We start from the raw sequence: 24229 nt of genomic DNA, 5'->3' as shown, positions 1-24229 counted from the left end.
GCAAACCCCGCCCCCCAACCCTCAAGTCCAGTTTTCTCCTTTAAATCAGCCTTTATCAGCTCAAGGTCAGGGTGAGCCTTAGGACCTTAGACAAGGAAATCCACTTCCCCTCTGGGATGGAGTGGGGGGTCTTGTGTGGCAATCTGCAAAGTGGGCACGCTGCCACCTGTGCTTCCTGCTCTCCTGCTAGGTCCCAACAGTCGGGGCAGAGATGGCTGTGGCAGTGGCAGGAGACATAGAGCACCGTGCCTGTCCTCTTCACTGCCTTGCACACAACGGGTGTTTGAGAACTGTTTGAATGATTTTTGTGTATCTGCCCCTCCTTGTCCCCATCCTGGTATAGCTTTGCCTCAATAATCATTTGTTGAGTGAATAAAGGATTTAAATTGAGAGAAGGGGATGGAGGCTTATGTATAATTCCATGCAGAAGGACAACTGGGAGTCAGAAGTTCCAGTCCACTTCCTGGCTGTGCGACCTGGGCCAGTTACTTTACTACAAGCCTCAGTTTCCTTCTTTGTAAAATAGAGTTAGCATCTCGAACAGTTGTAAAAGCCAATGAGCAAGGAATATGAAAGAGTTTTGCAAACTCTTGCAAAGAGGTAGGAAAGATGAGAACTAATATTCACTTAGTGAGGGCTTATTCTGCACCAGACACCTTATTATTTTTATTTTTACTTTTTTAGAGACAAGAGTCTCACACTGTCACCCAGGCTGGAGTACAGTGGTGTGATCATGGCTCACTGCAGCCTTGACCTCCTGGGCTCAGGCAATCCTCCTGCCTCAGCCTCCCAAGTATCTGGGACTACCGGCGTGCCCTACCAAACCCAGCTAATTGTTTAATTTTTTTTTTTTTTAATAGACAGGGTCTCCCCCTATATTGCCCAGGCTAGTCTCCAACTCCAATTCCTGGTCTCAAGTGATCCTCCTGCCTCAGCCTCCCAAAGCATTGGGATTACAGGTGCGAGCCACCACACCTGGCCCCATTTTTTAAATCTGTACACCCACCCAATTATTTGTATCCTATTGTACAGATAAGGCTCAGAGAGGTTAAGTAACTTTCCCAAGGTCACACAGCCCATAAGTAGAAAAGCCAGATCGGGACCCAGATCTCAGTCTAACTCTAAAGCCCAGCTTCTTTCTGTTAAACCCTGGAGCATCTACACTGAAAGGAACAATTACTACCATTTCTATTTGTCATTTTGTTTGTGTGTGAAAATCCTCATCTGTCAGAGACGCTACCCTGCCTCTGAGGCTGTACGAAACCGGGAAGTAACGAACTATGTCCTGATTGTGTCTCCAGAACACAGGTTTTTTATTACCTACCACGGCGGGCTGTACATCTCTGACGTACAGAAGGAGGACGCCCTCTCCACCTATCGCTGCATCACCAAGCACAAGTATAGCGGGGAGACCCGGCAGAGCAATGGGGCACGCCTCTCTGTGACAGGTAGGGGAGAGGGCCTGGGGAGAACGGGGCAGGCTGGGAAGGGAGGACACCAGGCCATCCCTGGAACTTGGCACGCCCCACCGCAGATGGAGGAGCCCCCTGTGTACTCAGGGAAATCAGAGAAAGAGATTAAAGAAATCAGGTACTGAAACCACCAAGGAAGACCTCTTTGCTATGTTTTCATTTTCAAATAATGAGGCTACGAGACTCACCCTCTTTTTCCCTTTTTTTTCCTTTTTTTTTTGTCTTTCCTGTCAGGAAGCTGATAGATAAAATCTGATACTCAAACATAGTAACTATTAGTGTTGCTTTTGCTGGGGGTGGGGGGATTGCATTTCCATGCCTCTAGGTGCTTGTGAGTATTCTATCCTTTCTTTCTTTTCTTTTCCTTTCTTTCTTTATTTCGTCCCTCCCTCCCTCCCTCCCTCCCTCCCTCCTCCCTCCTCCCTTCCCTTCCCTTTCCTTCCCTTCCCTTTCTTTCTTTTTCCTGAGACGGAGTTTCTCTCTTGTTGCCCAGGCTGGAGTGCAATGGCATGATCTTGGCTAACTGTAACTTCCGCCCCCTGGGTTCAAGCAATTCTCCTGCCTCAACCTCCTGAGCAGCTGGGATTATAGGCATGCGCCACCACGCCCGGCTAATTTTTGTGTTTTTTTAGTAGAGACAGGGTTTCACCATGTTGGCTAGGCCGGTCTTGAACTCCTGACCTCAGGTGAGCTGCCCGCCTCAGCCTCCCAAAGTGCTGGGATTGCAGGTATGTGCCACTGCGCCCGGCCTGAGGATTCTATCTGATCAATGAGTACATATGTATCTTTTGTCATAGGCCACCTCGCAACATTTGAAAGCAGGCAGAACATAATTTATAAACAAAATATTTCTAAACAGAATAGAGGATTCTTCTTTTGGGGTGATTATAGCTTCTCGGGAGGGATAGAAACTGGTGTTTATTGAATCCTCCTGTGTATCTGGGATTCCCTCATTTGTTTCTGTCAGGGACCGTCATAGCCCTGTGAGGTGTGTGCTGTTTCCCCTATTTTTACAGGCGAGAAAACCAAATCTTAGGGAAGCCAAGCGACTTGCCAGAGCTATTTAACCAGTGGGAGGCACAGCCAGAATTCAAACTCTGAACCCCTGGCCTCGGTGTCCTTCCAGCTACAGGACCCCATAGAAGGGGTCAGTTGAATGCCCATACCCATGCTGAGGTCACAGAGAGGCGCTCCTCGAGGTAGGCTTTCTGAACAGTGGTTTCCAAACTCTTTGACCACAATGCCCAGACAGACGTTCTTATCACAGCCTGCGCGATGCACACTGGCATTTTCTACCATGCTCGTTGCAAGGCGCTCTGGAATTTTCTATTCTATTCTATCTAATTCTGATTTCTCTAAATGCTGGCCACAACTCACCAAATGGATTTCACAACCTCCTAAAAGTTTGCGGGTTGCGAGTTGAAAATCTCTGTCTTGAGATTGGAGTTTTTGGAACGGGGATGAACGCTAAGTCAGAACACCCGGCTTTTGGGATTAGACTCATGAAATCTCGCAGCCTCTCTAGGCCTCTGGAAAAGGAACCAGTCTAGGTGGCTGCTCTGATTCTGTGTGCCTCTGCCGCTCAGAGCTCTGCCCTGAGTTTGGTGGTTTGGTGATGAGCTCTGCCCTGACCCACAGAGACTCTCTCCAGGACCACTTCCACTTGTCTGTCACATGTGGGGCAAGGCCAGGAGATCAGGAGCTGGGAGGGCAACAACCCGGCTCCCGATTCACCCCTGTGTCTTCAGCGCCTGGCCCTGTGCCTAACACACACGAGGTGCCGAGTAAATATTTATGGCATTAATCAATGCCGAGGGAAACCGTGCTGTCATAAGAGTAGGGGACGGGGCTGCTCCGTGCAGCCCCATCTTTGTGGCTTGACTTTGGAATCTGCAGCCCAATTTCCAAAGGGCTCGCCTCAAAATGACGGGGACTTGTGTGTATGGTGTTTTGCATCTCATTTGCATGCTTATCCTGCAATGTGGGAAAGACACAGAAATCCCCTTCCTGCAGGCCTGCTCCCTTCTCCTCCGTGAATATTTGGCCCCTTCATCCTCTAGTCTCCTGGGTGGACCTCTAGCTTTTGGGGGCACTAGGCAAGAGTCCCTCAAAAAGAGACATTCTTTGAACTGGAGGCCATGCCAGCCCTTCTTCCCCTCCTCTTTCACCACCAGCTTCCGGGAGAAGGGGCGAGGGGGAGGAGACTCACAGATAAAGCCCAAATAGAAAAGCGGGCATGAAGATGGGACGGTACCGACAGACAAGAGAGAGGCCCCGGCACAAAGAGAGATTGGCATGGGGCACAGGAAAGGCAGAACGGAGGGACATGCACAGAGACAAAGGAAGCGAGCGACGGGGCTCCAGGGAGGGGGCACATGCAGCGACGCGGGGCCCTGATGTGATGGGATGTGACAAGGCGATCTGCAAGCTGCTTGTCTCGGCAAAAATGCAACTGATACTGGAGCAAGCAGTGCCGAGGGGGTTGGCACTGTGTGGAGCCCAGAGCCCGTCTCAGGCTCACCCGCCCCTCCCCATTGCACTTGGGTTCCACTCCCCAGAGCTGAGGGTGGAGATCAGTCCCCACAGAGAGGCAGGCACGAGTGTCCGCTGAGATGTTTCAGTCTCTAGAGGCCAGGACCCCCGAGAGCTCCTGGGGCTTGTTGCGGATGAGAATGGCACAAATGGCAGTGCATTGGAGGTGGTCAGTTCATGAGAACAGGAAGCACATTTGTGGTCTCTTCAGCACTCAGGGCTAAAGTTGCTGGGGGTGGGGAGAGATAACGAGGTGTATTATTAAGATGGCAGTTATGAATTAGGCCAAACTTTCCATCTCCGCCTCAACACTCACTAGTTGTGCAGCCTGGCATAAAATAATGTTCCAAACCTCAGCTGCCTCATCCGGAAAATGGGAGTAACAAAATGTACTCCTGCTGGGTTGCCATGAGAATGAAACAGAATATCTCCTATTAAGAAAGGCCAGGCGTGGTGATTCAGGCCTGTAATCCTAGCACTTTGGGAGGCCAAAGCAGGTGGCTCACTTGAGGACAGGAGTTCAAGACCAGCCTGGCCAACATGGCAAAACCCCATCTTTACTAAAAATACAAACGTTAGCCGAGTGTGGTGGCACATACCTGTAATCCCAGCTACTCGGGAGGCGGAGGCAAAGAATCGCTTGAACCAGGGAGGCAGAGGTTGCAGTGAACCGAGAACGCGAGATCATGCCACTGCACTCCAGCCTGGGTGACAGAGTGAGACTCTGTCTCCAAAATAAATAAATAAATAAATACCGCCTATAAAAAGCTTAGCTAGTGCCTGACACAGGAAGCTCTGGACAGACAGTAGCTGCTACTATTATTGTCAGTGGTGGTTGTTCTGCTGTTGCTACATTGTTATTCCTACTACATTCCCAAGGGGGGGGGCGGGGGGCGGCAACTTTCATTTTTCTGTATTTTCCAAGTTGCAGAGGCAGTTGCAAGAATAGTCTGTGCCTCCACAAAATACAACCTAATCATAATCATTCCAGACATCTAGGTGCTTTTTTAGAGCTTACCAAGTGCTTTCAGGTGTATTAACTCACTCTGTCCCCACCATAACTCAGTGGGATGGGCATTGTCACCTGCAGTTATAAAGGAGGAGACTAGTGGTCAGAGAGGCTGAGGGACTGGAATCGGATCCCCAGCTCACAAAGGACAGAGCCAGGTGCAGAAGCCATGCTCCTGGTGGTGCCCTAACCACCTAACCACAGCAATGCTGTTCAGCTGGCTATGGGGGCAGGGTTCCCAGCAGCCTCCCCAGGGCATCTCAGATCCCCAGCCAGCCTAGCCTAGCTCCAGTGCACCCCCAGCAGTTTCTCAAGCCTGACCATCTGTCTCCCCCAGCCCTGCTTCAGTGCTAGGAGCACCCAGTCCCCCCGGGCTGTCGCCATGTACACGCCGCAGCATTTTACTTCTGCTCTGGAGTAATGGAAGAGGTTTCTTTCCCTCAGAATTTAATTTCACGCCTGAGCCTCGGTGATTAATTCCCTCCCTCCGCCCCTTCCTCCACCACCCTGATGGCCCCTCCGCTTGTAAATTCTGCAGTGTGCCACGGAATTTGTGTATTTTGCATCAATTAAGTGTCACATTGAGTAATTCTTCCTTGGCACTGGGTTTGTTTATCCCAGCCATTCCCACCGGGTTGGGGGTGGGAGAAGAGGCCACAGAATCTGGCAGGCAGGGCACATGAGCTCTAGATAGTAATTGTCCCACGCATCTGCAGCTGGATTGAGCGTCTAAAGCGCTTCCACACACCTATACTACTGGTTGCCTGCAACGGCCTTGTGAAGTCTGGAGGCAATGTTATCACCTCCACCAGGGCAGGTGGGGAAACTCGGGCTCTAGGAGATCACAAAACTTGCCCAAGGTCACAGGGCTTCTCAGTGACCCAGGCAGAACTTGCCCCTGGAGAGCCTGATTCCCAACCCGGGCTCCTTCTGTGGCCCACAGGCAGCCCCTGACGAGCACTGGAAGGTGGGAAGAGAACAGAGATTCTTTCCCCTAGAGAGGAGAATTCTCACCCCAACCCCTCTCCAGGGCAATTGCTGAGGGCAGAGGAAAGCTTCCATTAGTGAAGGGACCACTATCCACTCCTAAGCAAAATTTAGGATTTTAGATTACTCCATCTCAGACGCCATTTACTGAACAAGGGTGGGGGAGACCTGGCTTCTGATCTTAGCTCCATGTTGTGATCCCAGGCAGGTCCCTGTACGTCGCTGGTCTCAGCATCCTCATCTCTTTGTGCCTCAAGCTCCCTAAGCCAGCTCTATAATTCCACAAGTCTATACAGTTCTGCAATGTGGATTTCTATCCAGAAAAATCAGACTACTCGCCTGCCCATGCCTGAGTGCCCCATTCATCCTCCCTAGACATTTATGGTTCAGCAGCCTGGGGAGATACAGCAGCGGTTTAACGCTGCCTTGAGGAGCTCGGTCTTCCAGGTGCTGACTGCCCTTGGAAGGGGCAGTGCTGATGGGGGCTGCCTCTGGAGAGTCACGTGGGGTGGCAGAGGGCAGGAGGGTGGGGAGATGGGGAGACTCCCTTTATGACATGCTCTTCTATACTTTCTGAAGTTTTGCCAAGTCCATATGTTATCTATTTTATCTGTTAAAACACTTTTAAAGCTTGTATTAGTATTAGTATCATCATTATTTTTGAGACAAGATCTTGCTCTGTTGCCCAGGATGGAGTACAGTAGCACAATCATAGCTCACTGCAGCCTCACATCTCTGGCTCAATTGATCCTCCCACCTCAGCCTCCTGAGTAGCCAGGACCACAGGCTTGTGCCACCACACCTGGCACTATAGTCATGTGTGTGTGTATGGTTTTGTTTGTTTGCTTGGTAGACATGGGATCTCACTGTGTTGCCCGGGCTGGTCTCCAACTCCTGGGCTCAAGTGATCTTCCCACCTCAGCCTCCCAAAGTGCTGAGATTACAGGCATGAGCTACTATGCCTGACCTATTATTAAAACATTTATTTTAAAAGAAGGGGAAGTTCTGAGCTGGGCACGGTGGCTCATGCCTGTAATCTCAGCACTTTGGGAAGCCGAGGCGGGTGGATCACAAGGTCAGGAGTTCAAGACCAGCCTGGCCAAGATGGTGAAACTCCGTCTCCACTAAAAATACAAAAATTAGCTGGGCATGGTGGCGGGCACCTGTAATCCCAGCTTCTTGGGAGGCTGAGACAGAGAATTGCTTGAACCCGGGAGGCGGAGGTTGCAGTGAGCCAAGATCACACCACTGCACTCCAGCCTGGGTGACAGAGTGAGACTCTGTCTCAAAAAAATAAAAATAAAAATAAATAGCAGGGAGTTCTTTGAAAATAAAATGAAAGAAAAAGAAAAATCTGTGGGAGTCATTGAGAGTGGCCTGGAGAAGGCATCCAGAAGAGGTGACATTTAAGCTGGTTTGTGAAAGATGAGTAGGAGCTGGCCAGGCAGAGCAGGCTGGCTGGGCATCCAGGTGACCCAGGTGACCCAGCACACCACCGCAGGCTTCCATGGAGACAGGGGACAGTGTAGGCAGGCCAGGCCGACTCACTGGCCCAGATCATAGAAGGCCTTGGCATTGAGGATAAGCAGCGGAGGTGTGTTGTGTAGGTGAGGGGCATCCTGGGGAGGTTTAAAACAGGAGGAGGTCCCCCAGGGGCAGGAAACCCAGAGAGGCCTTGGAGGGTGGGAACGAGCCTGAGAGGGCCGACAGGACACCACTCAGAAATTCCTGGGCATTGCACACAGAATCCTGCCCGCAGGCGCTATGGTTTTCTGCAGCTTCAGGCCACAGGTCTCGTAGTTGCTGGTTTCTCTTGGTTTTGGAATGCGAAATAGAGGATTGTCACAGGTGACTGTGGTGGGGCTTCTGAATCCTTCTAGGCTCTGATGGAAATGCACTGGTCATTTCTGAATCTGTCCAGAGTTTAGGCAGAAGACAGAGCAGGAACAGATAGATCGTCCTCCCATCTCCCAGTAGGCCTAGAGAGATACTTACCATGAATTGCAAACTTGAGACGTCATGACACATCACTGCTCTACAGCCTGGGCCAGAATCCAGGGACAGAGCTAGGTATGGTGGCTCAGGCCTGTAATCTCAGCATTTTCAGAGGCCAAGGCAGGCGGATCACCCGAGGTCAGGAGTTCGAGACCAGCCTGGCCAACATGGTGAAATCCTGTCTCTACTAAAAGTACAAAAAATAGCTGGGTGTGGTGGTGCGTGCCTGTAGGCCCAGCTACTTGGGAGGCTGAGACAGGAGAATTGCTTGAACCTGGGAGGTGGAGGTTGCAGTGAGCCAAGATCACCCACTGCCCTCCAGGCTGGGTGACAGAGTGATTGAGACTCCATTTCAAAAAAAAAAAAAGAAGCCAGGGACTCTCCGTGGGAAAGGAGTTCTCATGCACACCCTCTCCCTCCCTGCACGTCTTGCTCTCTTCCGCCTTCTTCCCTTCTTCCATCTGTCTCTCTGTCTGTCACTCTAGTCCCGAACTCCATCATATCCTCTCCTCCTCCCAGCCCCTGCTGGGAATCCCAGTCAAAGTTGTCTGGGGCTTGGTCTGGCCTGAGCACAGAAGACACAGTGCACCCTCCCTGAAATGTTCCTCTGGAGCCGCCCTGGAAACTGCTCGCTGTGGGCGCCAGTGGGCAGCAGGCTCCTGTCTGGGTGCTTGCCTTCCCTCCCCCAGCGCCACTTCATCCCACCCAGGGCTGGCCAGGGCTGCCGACCCTCTCTGCCTTCCAGACCCTGCTGAGTCGATCCCCACCATCCTGGATGGCTTCCACTCCCAGGAAGTGTGGGCCGGCCACACCGTGGAGCTGCCCTGCACCGCCTCGGGCTACCCTATCCCCGCCATCCGCTGGCTCAAGGATGGCCGGCCCCTCCCGGCTGACAGCCGCTGGACCAAGCGCATCACAGGGCTGACCATCAGCGACTTGCGGACCGAGGACAGCGGCACCTACATTTGTGAGGTCACCAACACCTTCGGTTCGGCAGAGGCCACAGGCATCCTCATGGTCATTGGTGAGTCGGGGAAGCCCCTTCTGCAGCCCCAGTAACCTCTGAGGGCGCCTCAGGGGTCGGGGGAGGAGTGTGGCCGACAGCTGGACCTGTCTCTGACCAGGCCCTGGGAATAACCCTGGCTGACTGGGGAAGGCAGTCTGGTATCCTGGAAAAGCCCTTGGCTTGAAATCAGGAGGCCTGCCTTTTGTTTCTGGCATTAGCAGATAGTAACTGACTTTGGGCAAATCACATAACCATGACCATCAGCTCAGTGCCGTTCTCTGTAAAATGGGAAAGTGGTCCCAGCCTTCCTACCTCCCAGAGGTCATGAGGCTCCAGTGGGATGAGGAGGGTGATGGTGATGTGCTCGCCATGAGGGCAGGGCTTCCGGGCTTGTAGGGAGGTAGTGTCCGAACTAAGGGAAGCAAGGCAGCTGTCAATCCACTAGAGAGGACATACATCCCAATCCTAGGGTGACATTCAGGATGTTTCACAATCATTGATAGGGGCACTGATTAATCAGATCAGAAACTGGCCATAAACAAGCAAATCATCTCTGCCAGGACCTTCCAGCTGGATGTCAACCCTGGTTCCTTCCTATTCCTCCTCCTGCCCCTTCTAGGGGTCCAAGGAGCTGGTGTGGAGAGCAGGTGGCCTTAGCATACCCCTGCTGCTGAGGAGCCCCCAAGGCAGGCAGAGAGGGTAGAAGCAGATGGGCGAATGCCCTGGAAAGCACTCTGGATGCGGATTTGTGAGGCCCAGCTCACCCCTTTCCCCCTACCCCACCTCTCTCCACTCCTGTGTGACCCAGCCTCAAGGTTCCCATCTGTGAAATGAAGAAGTTCCTTCTAGCTCCGGCATCAAGAGTCTGACTCTCTGAGTTCCCTGCTCTCTAGGCTGCAGTGGGGCTGGGATCTGGACACCCTTGAGGAAATGCCATGCCTCATGAGACAGGAATGAGGCTGTCATTACTAACAGCATCCTGAGGGTTATTCAACGTGGGCAGTGGAAAGAGAACGTCCAGAGGTGATCCCACCTCTCATCCTGGTTGACCAAAGAAACTCTCTTCCCACCTCCCATTCATTGTGAGCATAGGGCAGTAGGGCTGCAGACCCTCAGGCTGACCAGAGAACCACAGCAGAGCCCACTTCTGGGCCTAGTGTCTGACTCCCACAGCCCAGATAAGGGCTGAGTCTCCTTCCTCACAGTCAAGAGAGTCTTGAGAGTTGGAGTGTGTTTATCTACAGTGCCTGGAAGAGCGCCCCAACACAAATTCACTGTCAAGGTGGAAGAACAGAAAGAGCCCCAAGAAATGCTCTGGGATGGCAGTGCACGGTGCAAATGCTTAGGTTAAAACGCTGAAAGCCCTACTTCAGGGGCCTGGGGGTTCCTCTCGTACAAACAAGCCCTGGACAGCAGAGCAGACAGAGGATCAGGATTGGCACCTCCCTTCCTGCCCTAAGCACTGTCTGAAAAAGTTTATTCCAGTATTACCTTCACCTCCTTCCCACCCTCCTGCTCTACACTCTCTCTCTTTCTCTCTCTTTCTCTCCAAATAGGTCAGAAGGGCAACACACCCTCAAATCCTTGGAAAATTAGCAAACCTTCCTGTAGGTAAATGCAGTGTTCACAGCTCCTGCACCAGTGTATGCAGGCAAGCGGAGACACACAGACACAGGCACACATGTTGAAAATGCACCTGCCCGCCTCCCCAAGTACGCATGCACACGTATATGGTGCCTGTACCCATGCACAGCTACATAATCCCTTCACAGGAACATGCCCATATCCAAGTACACTCTCACAGATGTACAGCAAGTCACCACTTCCAGATGTGTACACTCCCACACTGACCCTGAATGCATCTTCTCTGATCCCCAGCCCCCTACCCCTCCCCACAGCAGGCTTGTTTGGACCACCAAGGTTCAAGGGGAATCAATGTGACTTTTCTCCATCTGCCAGCCTCTCTACAGCCTCTCCCTGCCAGGTTCATGGAGAGGAAAGCAATGCTTTCCATACCCCCTACTCCTCCACGAAGCCCCCCACCTAACCTGTGCCAAGCCCACACAGGAGCAGTGAGGAGACGGTGGCTAGCAGAGCACTGGGAGCTCCGGCTGGCGACTGGGATGAGCAGGAGGCCACCTGACTCAATGTGCACTGACATTTCCTGGAGAGCAGGCAGAGGCTCTGGGAAACGAGTAGGGAGAAGCAAGCATGCGGTCATTTATGCTTTGGCTGCACTCGGCCCACATGAGCTTGCAATCTTCCTCTCTCCTGCAGGCTTCCTCACTTGGGGTACCAAGCTATACAGGGAGCCTGAGCCCCCATACAGAGCCCCTAGCCCATAGAGATCAAGGAGAGGTCAGTTTGGAGCCTGTAAATGGCTTGCTAAGCCAGTTAGACCATCAGTAATGACTCCGGTCATGGTAGGCCTATGAGGCTGAGAGACGTCACCCTGCTCTCAAGTGGCCCACAGTCCAGAGGGAAAGGGAGACAGACACAAAAGAGGTGATGAAGAGACAGGGTGCTCAGTGTGGTGTGAGTTATACACAGCGGGGCTAGAGGAGGGATCCTTAGCCCAACCTGGGAGGGAGAGTGATGTCCAGGAAGGCTTCCTGGAAGAGGTGACACCATGCGAAGGATGAGCAAGAATTAGGCACAGAATGCTCTAGGTGAGGCCCTGGGGCCAGAAACAGCCCAGGGTATGCAGAAATCGCAGGCAGGTTGCTGGTGCTCTAAAGACCTATGGCTTTGGTGACAACGGAACCCCTTTGAACCCCTACAGTCAGGCCCTTAGGGCCTTGAGGGCCTCAAATGCCATGCTGAATTGGAGTCATGGAAGTTCTGAGCAGCGAGTGGCTGGCTGCAGCATGGAGGACAGCTGGGGGGAGGCAGGGAGGTGCTGCCACGTGGATCCAGGTTGGGAGCTCCAGGCCTGCAGTGGGGCAATGCCAAGCAGGGGGTCCACAGATCCAACTAGAGGAAATCAGACCAGCAGCACATAGCAATGTGTTATCTCCGCAAGTATGGGAGACAGCCTGCTGGGCCAAGGGTGCCCCCCCCGGTTTCTGAGGTGGGTGGCGGGGAGAATAAAGAGCCAGTCAAGTCTCCGCCCTCCTCAGTGAGCCAGAGGGAGCCTCACACTCTCACCAGGCACAGGGACACGTTTTAGGGGAGCACAGGCCATCAGAACAACAAATACCCAGAGATCCCTCAGTCTGAGCCTGCCATTTCACAAATGAGTAAACTGAGGACTAGAGTAAGGAATTCCCCAGTCCCAGTCCACACAAGGGGTCTGGAGGCAGAACCTGGGCCTTTTGTGACCCCTAACTACCCCCAGCTACACTCCACTCACAGTAAGCCCTTTTTCTGTTCTTTCCTCCCTCCCATTTCCCCTCACGTCTCCCTGGCCCGGCCCAGATCCCCTTCATGTGACCCTGACACCAAAGAAGCTGAAGACCGGCATTGGCAGCACGGTCATCCTCTCCTGTGCCCTGACGGGCTCCCCAGAGTTCACCATCCGCTGGTATCGCAACACGGAGCTGGTGCTGCCTGACGAGGCCATCTCCATCCGCGGGCTCAGCAACGAGACGCTGCTCATCACCTCGGCCCAGAAGAGCCATTCCGGGGCCTACCAGTGCTTCGCTACCCGCAAGGCCCAGACCGCCCAGGACTTTGCCATCATTGCACTTGAGGGTGAGCTGGGGCGCCAGGACACAGGGGGCGGGTTCAGGGCTGCCGAGCTCATTCCCTCCCTTCTGCTGAGGTGGGAGCAATGCCAGGAGGCATTAAACCAGCGCTCACTACACACCAGGCCGGTGCACCATCTCACCCTAAGGGCCCTGTGTGGAAGCCCTTTTTTATATTTAAATCTTTTTAATCTTTTTTCCTTTTTTGAGGCAGAGTCCCACTCTGTCTCTCAGGCTGGAGAACAGTAGTGCGATCACAGCTCACTGCAGCCTCAACCTCCCTGGCTCAAGCAATCCTCCCACCTCAGCCTCCCAAGTAGCTGTGACTACGGGCAGGGACCATCTTGCACCATGCTAATGTCCAAGGTTATTCTGTTCACCTGGCTAATTTTTTATGGTTTGTTTTGTTTTGTTTTCAGAGACAGAGTCTCACTATGTTGCTCAGGCTGGTCTTGAACTGGGGTGAAGCGATCCTCCCGCCTGGGCTGAGGCCTTTACTTTTTTTTTTTTAATGATGTTACCCATTTTGCTGTTGAGGAAACTGCAGCTTTGGTCACTTGTCCGAGTTCACACAGCTCTGCCCAAGGGACAGAGCAGAGATTTGAGCTCAGGTCTCTTAACCATCATACTCTACTGTCTCTGCCCTTGGAAATTACTAGAATTTCAGTATTAGAGGAGTCTTCAGAGGCTGGAAGAGTGCCAGTGACCTCTAGACTTGCAATTCCTCTCCCTGCCTGAGACCTCTTCAAGGCAGGCTCTGTGTCTCACCAGCATCCTGGGTTTTTACCTGTTTGTTTGTTTCTCTATCTCCTCCTTTAAAGCTGCCAGCACCCGGAGTTCCTTACCCAGCACCTCTGTGTATGGTTGTTCAGGTTGTTCACTGCACACGTTGCCCAGCCAAGAGGGTAGGTGAGGACTGAAATCCAGCCTGCACCTCATTTGCCAACCCATCAGCCCTGGCACTGGGCTGTGCCCACACAGAGGAGGCACCACTTTCTCATTTGTACAAAGGAGCAGTGGGGGCTGGCAGAAACCCTGTCCTTACAAACAAGTTTAATGGTTCCCCACCTCCTCCTTCATTGCCACCAAAACAAACACAACACAATTCTGTTCCTTCTAAGGATTTGTCGTAACAAAGATACCAGCCAAACCCAAGCAAGCCCCACAGGTATGGGATCCTCCCCAGGTGTCCTCGTCACAGCCTGTGGGTCTGCACTCCTTGAAGGTGTGAGGCACCCAGGAACCTAAGCCCTCATTCCTCACCCCGACCAGACAAACATTTGTCTTCCTTTTTGTTTCTTGTTTCTGTTTCTTAGAGACGGGTCTCATTGCTCTGTTGCCCAGGCTGGAGTGCAGTGATGCAATCATAGCTCACTGCGGCCTCAAACTCCTGAGTTCAAGCAATCCTCCTGCCTCAGCTCCTGAGTAGCTGGGACTACAGGCATGTGCCACCACACCTGGCTATTTTTTTACATTTTTTCTAAAGACATGGTCTCCCTACATTGCCCAGACTGGTCTCAAACTCCTGGGTTCAAGCAGTCCTCCCATCTCAGCCTCCCAGAGTGCTGAGATTACAAGCATAAGCAACCGTGGCTGGCCTACTTTTAAAGTACTTAATGCCTATTTTAATCCTTTTCAACAATCCTGTGCGGAAGGATGGCCAGGGTTAATAATTACATCCCCGTGTTCCACGTGAGGAAGCCAGGGCACAGAGGTTAATTGTCTTGTCCAAGGTTATTCTGTTAGCCAAGACTTAAGCCCCGGCCAAGACTCCTCACTGCCACCGCCTCTGTGCACTTTCAGCCTCAGACTTAAGGCCTTGTGCTAACAGGGTTGCAGCGCCACCACCCCCTCCTGAGGCCCCACGCAGAGGGAACTGGAATCAGACTCCACAGGGCCAGGCGGTTCCATATGTAGTTCTAAGCAGTTAACTTCTGAGCTTGTGTCTTTATTAATAGAGGAAGAGTTGAGAGGAAGCAGCATTTATCAAGAAATTACAAAGCGCTGTGTGAAGCCTCTGAAATGTATTAATTCATTTTATCCTCAGACTATCCATGAGGTGGGTATAATCATGATTGCTATTATCCCCATCCTCCGTCCATGAGACAAAAGACTCAGAGAGGTTAAGCAACTTGACCAAAGACCCAGAGCTAATAAGTGATTGAGGGAGGATGCAAACCCTACAGCCTGAATCCATGTACAGCAGTAACTGGCACCACTTGGGGTTGCGGATAGCAGAAGAATTGATGTACACAAAAGTTCTTGTTTGCTCTTATGGCTGCTTTTTGCCTCCTCCCCTGCTGAGGTGGGGTGGCTGGGGGGACCGTCTCTCCATGGCTTGGTGACCCTGAAGGGGGCTTCTCGCTCCCTGCAGATGGCACGCCCCGCATCGTCTCGTCCTTCAGCGAGAAGGTGGTCAACCCCGGGGAGCAGTTCTCACTGATGTGTGCGGCCAAGGGCGCCCCGCCCCCCACGGTCACCTGGGCCCTCGACGATGAGCCCATCGTGCGGGATGGCAGCCACCGCACCAACCAGTACACCATGTCGGACGGCACCACCATCAGCCACATGAACGTCACAGGCCCCCAGATCCGCGACGGGGGCGTGTACCGGTGCACAGCGCGGAACTTGGTGGGCAGTGCTGAATATCAGGCGCGAATAAACGTAAGAGGTGCCTGTCTACATTTAAATATCAGAATAGGTTTTTGAGTTCCTTTGCCATCTCTGTGGTTACCATTATTCTTGTGCTGATTAGTACTTATTATTAATCGTCATTTTGATTTTAGTAGAGGTCTCTCTCCCCTCTCTCGTCCCCTTTTCCTGCCCTCCTCAAGCGCCATCATCCATTCTTGTGTGCGTGTGTGTGTCTGGTACAGTTCACCCTCATTCACCTCCCCATTCCCCCTCCTCCTTCCTCCTGTCCAGAAATCCAGCCAGCCCAGCCCCTTCTCTTACCCTCTAGCCCATTCCTCCCCATCAAATCTCTCTGGGGCCCAAGTATGCTAAACACCTGCTGGTATCTGCCAGCCCCACCAGGGCCTTGTAAGGGCAAGACAGTGCAGGGGCTGGGGACCAGGCTTGGTCTTTAACATGGTTGCCCACCCAAGCTGTGCTCCCTCTGTCCTCCCACTGAGCCAGCCCCCAAAATGCTCCAGGAGGTATAAGCAACCAGGAGCCAGGGCACCATCTTCTCCCGCAAGGCTCACACCATCAAGAGTAAGAGGCTGAGGCTGGGTGGGGGTGTCCCAAGGAAGGCAGCCTCCAAGAGTGGGGAAAGGAGTCCTCAAGGGCATCATCCCCACATCTCAGTTCTTCAAGTCACTGTGGTGAGAACACAGTCTCCTCTGAAGCTCTTTGTAGCCCGATGGGGTCTGACTGGTCTTCATCTGACCCTACTGCTGACCCCTGACCCAAGGGCAGAGGAGCAGGGGGACAGCAGGAAGGGAAGGGGCACTGATCCAGGGGCACCCCTGGTTGCCGTGGGGGTAGGAAAAGGAGCAAAGGTGGAGTTTCATGTTGAATTTGCCTGTGCCAAGCCTTGGACTCCTGACAGAAGTGTGGGTTTCCCATCTGGCCACCCTCCTGCCCTCTCCTCTGTATTGGAAGGGGGACAGAGATGCAGGGCCCTGGAAGATTTCCCAGTCGGGCCCTGGAAGATTTCCCAGTTGGGCCCCTCATGTTCTGGATGGGGACCTGAGGCCCAGAGAGTACCTTGTACCCTGTGGAGCACTGTCTTGCTTGGTAGCCTCTGAACTCCCTTTCCATCCCCTAGATTGCCATCTGCCCAGCAAGCCTAGCCCAGGACACTCTCTCTCCCCAGCCAGCACTATCAGAGCCCCTTTCACAGCTCCTTCCCAGGGGCCTACAATACACATTTACTTGTTGAACGAAAGTCATCAGCTCACCTGGCGAAGACCTTCCTGTTGTTTTTAAGTAATTAACTTAAATTCCTTTTGGGTACGAGATCAAAATAAGCAAGTAGAATGGAAACAACAAAATCTCTACCTTTCCACTTTAATCCCAAAATCTTAATCTCCCCATAAATGAGGACTTGCCCTCCCAAATCCCAGTCACTTCTTGGTGGGGCTGCAGTTTGGTCCTATCCCTGTCCCACGAGGGGAATGGCTCTTGGCCAAGGCATGTATATACTGCGTCCGTTTGCAACTCTTTGAAGCTAGTAACAGTGAGTCCTGGAGAGACTGTGGGCACCCCCCAATTCCAGCCCCTGTCTGTAGCTTTGTAAAAAGGCATCCCTGTGCCCCCACCAAATGTCCGCCCCCGAAAGTCTCAGGGGCCGAGTGCCTGAGAAGAGCACCGCAGGGTGGTGCCTGGCTGTCCCTGGCTGACAGCAGCACATGCCCTTCTCCTCCTCCTCCTCTCTTCTGACTCCTGCCCAGGCCCACCCAGCATCCGGGCTATGCGGAACATCACAGCAGTCGCCGGGCGGGACACCCTTATCAACTGCAGGGTCATCGGCTATCCCTACTACTCCATCAAGTGGTACAAGGATGCCCTGCTGCTGCCAGACAACCACCGCCAGGTGGTGTTTGAGAATGGGACCCTCAAGCTGACTGACGTGCAGAAGGGCATGGATGAGGGGGAGTACCTGTGCAGTGTCCTCATCCAGCCCCAGCTCTCCATCAGCCAGAGCGTTCACGTAGCCGTCAAAGGTAGGCCTCCCTCACCAGCCAGGGCCCCTGCCCGCCTGACCACCCAGGATGCGTGGGCCTTTCCCCAGCTGGGACTCAGACAACAATAGGCAATCCTGGGTGAACGGAAGGCTGAGCAAGAGAGGCCCCAGCTTGGCATTCAGAAAAAAGGGAGCAGGGCAGAAGACTGTGGGTGGACGCAGGCCATGAGCTCCTCTACATCCGGGGTCCTCCTCGGGCTGCAGAATAAGACAGCACACACCCCAGGTGCATGAGAGGGTGAGTTACAGATAAAGGAGGCAGGCTGCCTTCTGGGAGAGAGGCCAGGTCAGAGATGGGCTGCATGGGGCCTCTGCTGTTGGGATGGAGCCCCCAGGAGCTCAGCGGGCCCACACAAGGAGGCCACAAGCAACAGGAGGCCAGGGTTGACAGAGCACGCTGGGAGCCCTGACCCCCTGTGGGATACACAGTACCCAGGCTGCTTCTACAGGACTGGGAACACCCTTCCACCTGCTAGTACTGCTTGAGGCCTGGAAAGTGCTGTGTGGTGCTTAAAAGCCTCCTCCCTCAGGCCGGGCACAGTGGCTCACGTTGTAATCCCAGCACTTTGGGAGGCCGAGGCGGGTGGATCATGAGGTCAGGAGTTTGAGACCAGCCTGGCCCAAATGATGAAACCCCGTCTCTACTAAAAATTCAAAAATTAGCCGGGCGTGGTGGTAGGTGCCTGTAATCCCAGCTACTTGGGAGGCTGAGGCAGGATAATTGCTTGAACCTGGGAGGCAGAGGTTGCAGTGAGCCGAGATTGAGCCATTGCACTCCAGCCTGGGCAACAAGAGTTGAAACTCTGTCTCAAAAAAAAAAAAAAAAAAAAAAAAAAGCTTCGTCCCTCCTGGGCCCTTGACATCCACCTGGGTGAGGTCTTTGTTTCATGCCTGGTCCTGGGTAGCCGCTCACTAAGTCTGTGGATCAAATGAATGAGTGAATATAAATGTTCAAATACATGAGCATGTGAGTCAATGACAATGTCTCCTTGGTTCTGGGGCTGCGAAGGTCTTCGAAACCCCCAAATACATTCTTTGGGACTGACAGACCTGGAGACTGTCTGGATGGTGTGTGACAGGAGGGTGGCCTGGTTTCTCTGGGGCCAGGCTGGGGAGGTGGATACCCCCAGGCTTGACTAAGGAGAAGCCTGTGAAAACCAGGCTACAGGGGTTGGGTACTGAGTCAGCCACGGCTGTGATGGCTGAAGAGCTTATGTCTCTTCGTGAAGAGCCAGGATGGGCTCAGGCCTGGGGAGGATAAGTGGACAGGCTGTCCTCTGCAGCCTGAGGCTACAGAAGCATGAAGACCTCAGCCTGGGGCTCCGCCTGGGAGGAAGGGAGGTCTGGGGGTCTCCAGCCACCATCCTGGGCTATCGCAGCAGGCTGCGATGGTTATAATGATCTGCCACTGTCACTGCGGCAGGCGCACTGTGTGCCTCTCACATTGCTCCATGCTCCACGTGCAGTGCCATCTTCGACCCCACAGCTGCCCACTCAGCTAAGGCAGGTAACATTTCCTCCCCAGTTTTCGGGGCAGAAAGTGGAGGCATAGAAAAGTTAAGAAAGGCCGGGTGCAGTGGCCCACGCCTGTAATCCCAGCACTTTGGGAAGCCGAGGTAGGCGGATCACCTGAGGTCAGGAGTTTGAGACCAGCCTGACCAATGTGGAGAAACCCTGTCTCTAGTAAAAATACAAAATTAGCAGAGCGTGGTGGCACATGCCTGTAATACCAGCTACTTGGGAGGCAGAAGCAGGAGAATAACTTGAACCTGGGAGGTGGAGGTTGCAGTGAGCTTAGATCGTGCCATTGCACTCCAGCCTAGGCAACAAGAGTGAAACTCCATCTCAAAAAAAAAAAAAAAAAAAAAAAAAAAGAAAAAGAAAAGAAAAGTTAAGTAAATTGCCATCTGGTGTCAGAATCTTTCCCAGGTCTGCATAACTCCAGAACCTGGGCTCCAACCGAGAATGGCCCCGAGCCAGGGAAAGGACAGGCTGGAGGGAGGACCGTTTGCTCCATGCTCTGCCTTAGGAATAAAGACATAGAGCTTCTGGGACTGCCAGGGAGGGTGTGGAAGAGACAAGAGTCCTTGAGAACTCTGAGGGCCCTGTCACCTGGGGGCTTCCCTCTCCTGAGCATCTGTGTCACAACCCAGGGCAGTGGGGAGGGGAAGCTGGGGAGAACCCCCTTTGTATCCCCAAGGGAAGAGAGGGAGGAATAGCGTTGACCAGGGGAGGAGAGCTAGCAGGAGGCCCATGGAAGGAAGAAAAAGAGAAGAGGGGTCCAGGCCTGGGAAGGGGCTCTGGCATGGGGGGAAGGCCCTGGGGACCCCCTGGCTGCTGCTTTGCCCAAGACTGGAAGCAACATGGAACACACACACTATCGGCAGCAAGAGGGACATATGGGAAGAGGAAGGGTTTGTGGAGGACCCTCAAGCATGTGATATCACTGGACATCCGGTGGAAGGGCCTGGTGGCCAGCTGGAAGGACTGAACGTGGCAGTGGAAGGCTGGGTGGAGACTTCTCCCCCAGCTCCTGCCATCAGTGCACAGGAGCCGAGTCACAAGCCTGTGTGCCCAACACCCATCACAGTGCCAGACAGTGTGTGCTTTGAACTGAAACTGAGACATTAGGCTGAGTTGGAGTGACTTACTAGGAAACCTCACTTTGAGCCCAGGAAAATGGACTTTTTTTTTTTTTTTTTTTTTGAGATAGAGTCTTGCTCTGTCACCCAGGTTGCAGTGCAGTGGCGTGATCTCAGCTCACTACAACCTCCTCCTCCTGGTTTCAAGCAATTCTCCTGTCTCAGCCTCCTGAGTAGCTGGGACTACAGGCGCACGCCACCACGCCCAGCTAATTTTTGTATTTTTAGTAGAGATGGGATTTCACCATATTGGTCAGGCTGGTCTCGGACTCCTGACCTCAGGTGATCCACACACCTTGGCCTCCCAAAGTGCTGGGATTACAGGCATGAGCCACCGCTCCCGGATGAAAGTGGACTGTCAAAGTCTACTTTGAGAACTTACTAGGAAACCTCACCGTGGCCATCTGAGGTCTGGGAGGAGAGAGGAGACCCTCACAGCCAAACACCCATTTCCCTGCTGTTGCGAGGGAGCCATGTGGAAGGGCATCCTGGCCACTTTCTCTGCCCAGCCCAGGGGCCTTGCCGTACCACCAGGGACCTAACAACCCCCAGCCCACATCCCCGCCCCTGTCATCTGGGACAAATCAGCTTGGTGGCTGTGTACACAGCTCAACCTGCCTCCTTTAAGCAGCATCACGGGCCGGGCCGCCTGTATCCATTTCCCTTACAAGCAGTGGACCGAGAGTTTAAGTGTAAACATCACATATTAAAACATCTAACCTTTGCTCCACTCCCTGCGCCAGCCCTCACTGGCAAGCATTTGGTCGGGTTTGTTGGCTTAAAAAAAATAATAACGGGTGCAGCGGGCCTCAGAGGACTCGGAACGTCCTGAAAGCTGCTTCTGCTCATCAATTATTCAGCCCCATTCAGGGAGTGATCAGTCCTAATGAATTGAATCTGATGCATTCCGTCTCGGCGACTCGCTGGGCCTGTTGTGATGGTGCTGAGCGACAGTGTCTCTGCAGCCCAGGGAGAGGGAGGGAAGTGGGGGGAAGGGGAGGGGTGTGTGTGTGTGTGTGTGTGTGTGTGTGTGTGTGTGTGTGATCCTAGAGGACAGAGCCCATGCCTTGGCCACGTGTGAGTCCCCAGCACCCAGCATAAGCTGTGCATAGCAGGCATGTGTGTGTGTGTGTGTGTGTGTGTGTGTGTGTGTGTGTGTGTACACACGCTTGCATGCACACCTTCCCCCTTCCCCACCCTCAGGGTCTGAAAAAATCCCAGAAATCCAGCCCTGAGGCGGGTGTAGTCACCTGTTTTCTCTCTGGACCAAGAAGCAGCATGGGTGTGAGGGGCTCTGGGACGTGCCCCCACCACTCCAAAAGCTCAGGCCCCCTCATCCCCATTTTTTCCCTGACTCCCTCTCCCACCTCATTAGAATGCGCTTTTGCAGAAGAACCATCAGAGCTGATTATGATCACGCTGCTTGATTAGCGGATGCGCTGTTCCAAGAACTACCCAAGGAGGGGGGTGGAGGAGGTGCCCGTGGGCATGGCGGGGGCCCTGACTTGGAGGGGGAGAAGGGTGTGGGCCTGGGGGCAGCTCTCCAGACCCCACTGCTGCTGCCCGACTAGGAAGTGCATCCCACTCAAGGTTCAGAGCAGAGAGCTAGAAAGTAGAAAAGGGCAAGTTGCGGGGGCAGGGATGGTGGGGACAGAGCACCGGAAGTGTGAGATAAAACTGGAAGTCTCCCACCCCAGCTCTCTGTGGGGCCAAGGGTCAGTGGGCAGGGTGGGGCTGAAACCCATGCTGCTCCATGAGCCGGAAAAACAACTGCTGACTCCATTCCTTCTGGGACTGCTTGTCTTCTAACGAATTTTTCTAACACTAAGCTGCGAACAGCAGCACACGCCCAACATGCCTGCACATGTGTGCAGAGACCTGTGTGTGAGCACTCGTGCGTGTGCACCCTGGTACGTATTGCATGCACGTGCAGCCAATTAACACATTAGCCCATTCACACTTGAGCACACATACGTAAACATGCATGCCAGCAGTTACACATACGCAAGTGTGTTGTCCACCAGGGCCCTCCCGTAAGGCAACATTCCTGAGCCCAAAAAGTGGCTGCAGGTGGGACCATATGAAATATTGCCCAAGGGAGCCTGCTGTGTTCCAGTAAAGTGGGAGGAGCAGAGAGGAGAGAGGGTGGAGGGTGCTTTGAAGGCTGTGTGTGCCTTGGCATATGTGACACTGGCTGGCAGTGGAGAGCCAGGCTGCAGGGATGGCTGGTATTTGTCTCTGGTCATCCGGAGAAATCCTTGGCAGGATGCTAAGAGGAGAGCACACAGATCAAACCTAGATTTGGTGACTTTAGGGCCACCTGTAGCTGAAAAATAATGTAGCACAAAAGCATCTCTGGGCATGCAGGCTGAATGTTTAATTAACTAGGAAGGCAGGGCTGCAACTGGGGCCCCTTTGCATTGGCTCCGTGAAGAAACATCTCCATTCCTACATCTGAGCTTCCGAGGGCTTCTTGAGCCAAAACAAGGCCAAGAGGTGCTTTCTGCCCATGCTCAGCAGGACCAGGACAGGGAGGTGGTGCCAGGCTTCTGTGGAGGACAAGTGGAAGAGGGACATACTCACCCACACACAAACACCCTCTCTCCCAAATGCCCATGTTCCCTCCTCCCTCCCTAATTTTTCCCTAGCTGTTCAATGCTGAGCTTCAGCACTGCTCCACCCAGCCTCTGCCGTATGCCTGGGAGCATGTGCCAGAGACCCTCTCCCACCCTAACGAGTAGGTTGGGGGTTTCTATGATGATAAGCTTAAGGGAGAGTCAGCCACCTGGCCAAGTGCCTGCTACTGGTGAAGGTGGAGATTTGGGAGGAACCTCACTGGGATCCACAGGAAAGGGGCACAGCAGGCTCCCTAGGAGGAGATGGCCTGCATGCCATTTGGGGGAGGAACACCAAGGAAGCCACTGCCAACAACCTTACTTCCTCAGCCAAGGGAGCCAGTAACAAAGGAGGAAGCAAACTCCCGTGGGACAGACAGGGCTCATGACGATGGTAGTGGTGATGAGGATAATGACCACGAATGTCATTCATTCAGTGACATCTACTGTGCCTCCACTAGATTCCAGGCACTATTTTAGGTTCTATGAATACAGCTATGCTCAAAATAGACAAAAATCCCTGCCATCAGGGAGTTTACATTTTAGTGAGGAAAGGGATCCTACGGTAAATACCCCAGAGATGTCTCCTGTCAAACAGGAGAGAGGCTGAGAGTGCCAAGGAGACGGGGTTTGCAATTTCAAATAAGGCGATCTGGGATGGGCTTCCTGAGAAGAGAGGGTTGTGTAAAAACTTAAGTCAGCTGTCATTATTCCCAAAATATGGGACTTGTTTTAACTAGAAAATCAGTGTCTGACTTTAGTGATTAGTTGGTTCAACCGCTCCATTTTGCAGATGAGAAAACTGAGGTTAGACTGGATGGTGATGAGGAGGTGCCTTGCCCACAGTCACTTAAATGGGTAGCAGAGTCTGGAACCGGGTGTTTTGGGTTCCAGGCATGGCTAGTGCCCCATCTCCGTGCTGCAAGGGCAAAGAAGCCCAGACTTCCCACGGCGCACACTCTGCTAGCAGGTGCAGTAAATAAAAGGCTCCATCTCAAAGAGAGATGATGAGAGACACCATTAAATGTTTCTGAGCTGGGCTGGTGGTCAGCACGCCTTCCTCTGTGCAGCACTCCCAAACAAGTGGCCATAAAAGCTTTATGGTGACTGGACACTGAATGGCCTGCCTCGACCACTGTGTCTTCTCAGCCACTCAGGCCTCTGCCTCTTCACCATTGCAGCACCTTGCTAAAGATGACTGTGGCCAGAGCAGGGCTTCTGGGGAGAAAGCCCTGGGTTGTGAGGCATTCATGCCCCCTACATCCAGCTGCCTGCTAGGGACACGCTGGGACTCGGGGGCAGATCTGTAGGCTGGACTCCACAGTAAAGAGGGCCCAGGTCATCACCAGGGTGCAGGGGGTCAGACCCCACCTCCGGGAGGATGGCTTTCCCAGAAATGGAAATGGCCAGGCACACATGCAGCTACTAGCCCTGAGCACTGGAGAGGGCGCCGCTGACTCACAGGTCAGAAGGCAAGCCCCATTTGGACAGCCATGTACATATATGGAGGAGTCCCCACCCTGCTTTGGAGACCCCACTCACAGCACTCCTAGTACCGAATGAGCTGGTGGAGGAGCCATGATCCCTGGGCTCTC

The 24229-nt window shown here is 53.2% G+C and overlaps 1 protein-coding gene across 6 annotated transcripts in view, besides 3 other annotated features; it reads left to right on the top strand.

The window, feature by feature from the left end:
- DSCAML1 (DS cell adhesion molecule like 1) overlaps positions 1 to 24229 on the top strand; it is a 389743-nt gene that overhangs the window by 283691 nt on the left and 81823 nt on the right. For 2 of the 6 annotated variants that reach the window (XM_011542918.2, XM_011542917.3), the window contains 5 exons: positions 1302 to 1448; positions 8705 to 9019; positions 12419 to 12694; positions 15062 to 15358; positions 17085 to 17357. In XM_011542918.2, coding sequence (XP_011541220.1) covers positions 1302 to 1448; positions 8705 to 9019; positions 12419 to 12694; positions 15062 to 15358; positions 17085 to 17357 — 1308 coding nt within the window. Of the gene's footprint in view, positions 1 to 1301; positions 1449 to 8704; positions 9020 to 12418; positions 12695 to 14678; positions 14747 to 15061; positions 15450 to 17084; positions 17358 to 24229 lie in introns of those variants that run through there. The other 4 variants (NM_020693.4, NM_001367904.1, NM_001367905.1 and 1 more) reach the window with 3 other exon arrangements.
- Positions 11485 to 12306: an enhancer, noted in NCBI's record as "H3K4me1 hESC enhancer chr11:117392233-117393054 (GRCh37/hg19 assembly coordinates)". NCBI's record gives its function as "activates a minimal SCP1, AML or CMV promoter by ChIP-STARR-seq in primed H9 embryonic stem cells {active_cell/tissue: H9 hESC(primed)}" and the evidence as "EXISTENCE:reporter gene assay evidence [ECO:0000049][PMID:30033119]".
- Positions 18069 to 18668: an enhancer, noted in NCBI's record as "H3K4me1 hESC enhancer chr11:117385871-117386470 (GRCh37/hg19 assembly coordinates)". NCBI's record gives its function as "activates a minimal SCP1, AML or CMV promoter by ChIP-STARR-seq in naive H9 embryonic stem cells {active_cell/tissue: H9 hESC(naive)}" and the evidence as "EXISTENCE:reporter gene assay evidence [ECO:0000049][PMID:30033119]".
- Positions 21421 to 22404: an enhancer, noted in NCBI's record as "H3K4me1 hESC enhancer chr11:117382135-117383118 (GRCh37/hg19 assembly coordinates)". NCBI's record gives its function as "activates a minimal SCP1, AML or CMV promoter by ChIP-STARR-seq in naive H9 embryonic stem cells {active_cell/tissue: H9 hESC(naive)}" and the evidence as "EXISTENCE:reporter gene assay evidence [ECO:0000049][PMID:30033119]".

Source organism: Homo sapiens, chromosome 11 (genome assembly GCF_000001405.40).
Source record: "Homo sapiens chromosome 11, GRCh38.p14 Primary Assembly".
Classification (NCBI taxonomy): Eukaryota; Metazoa; Chordata; class Mammalia; order Primates; family Hominidae; genus Homo; species Homo sapiens.
This window is presented reverse-complemented; position numbering and strand designations above follow the sequence as displayed.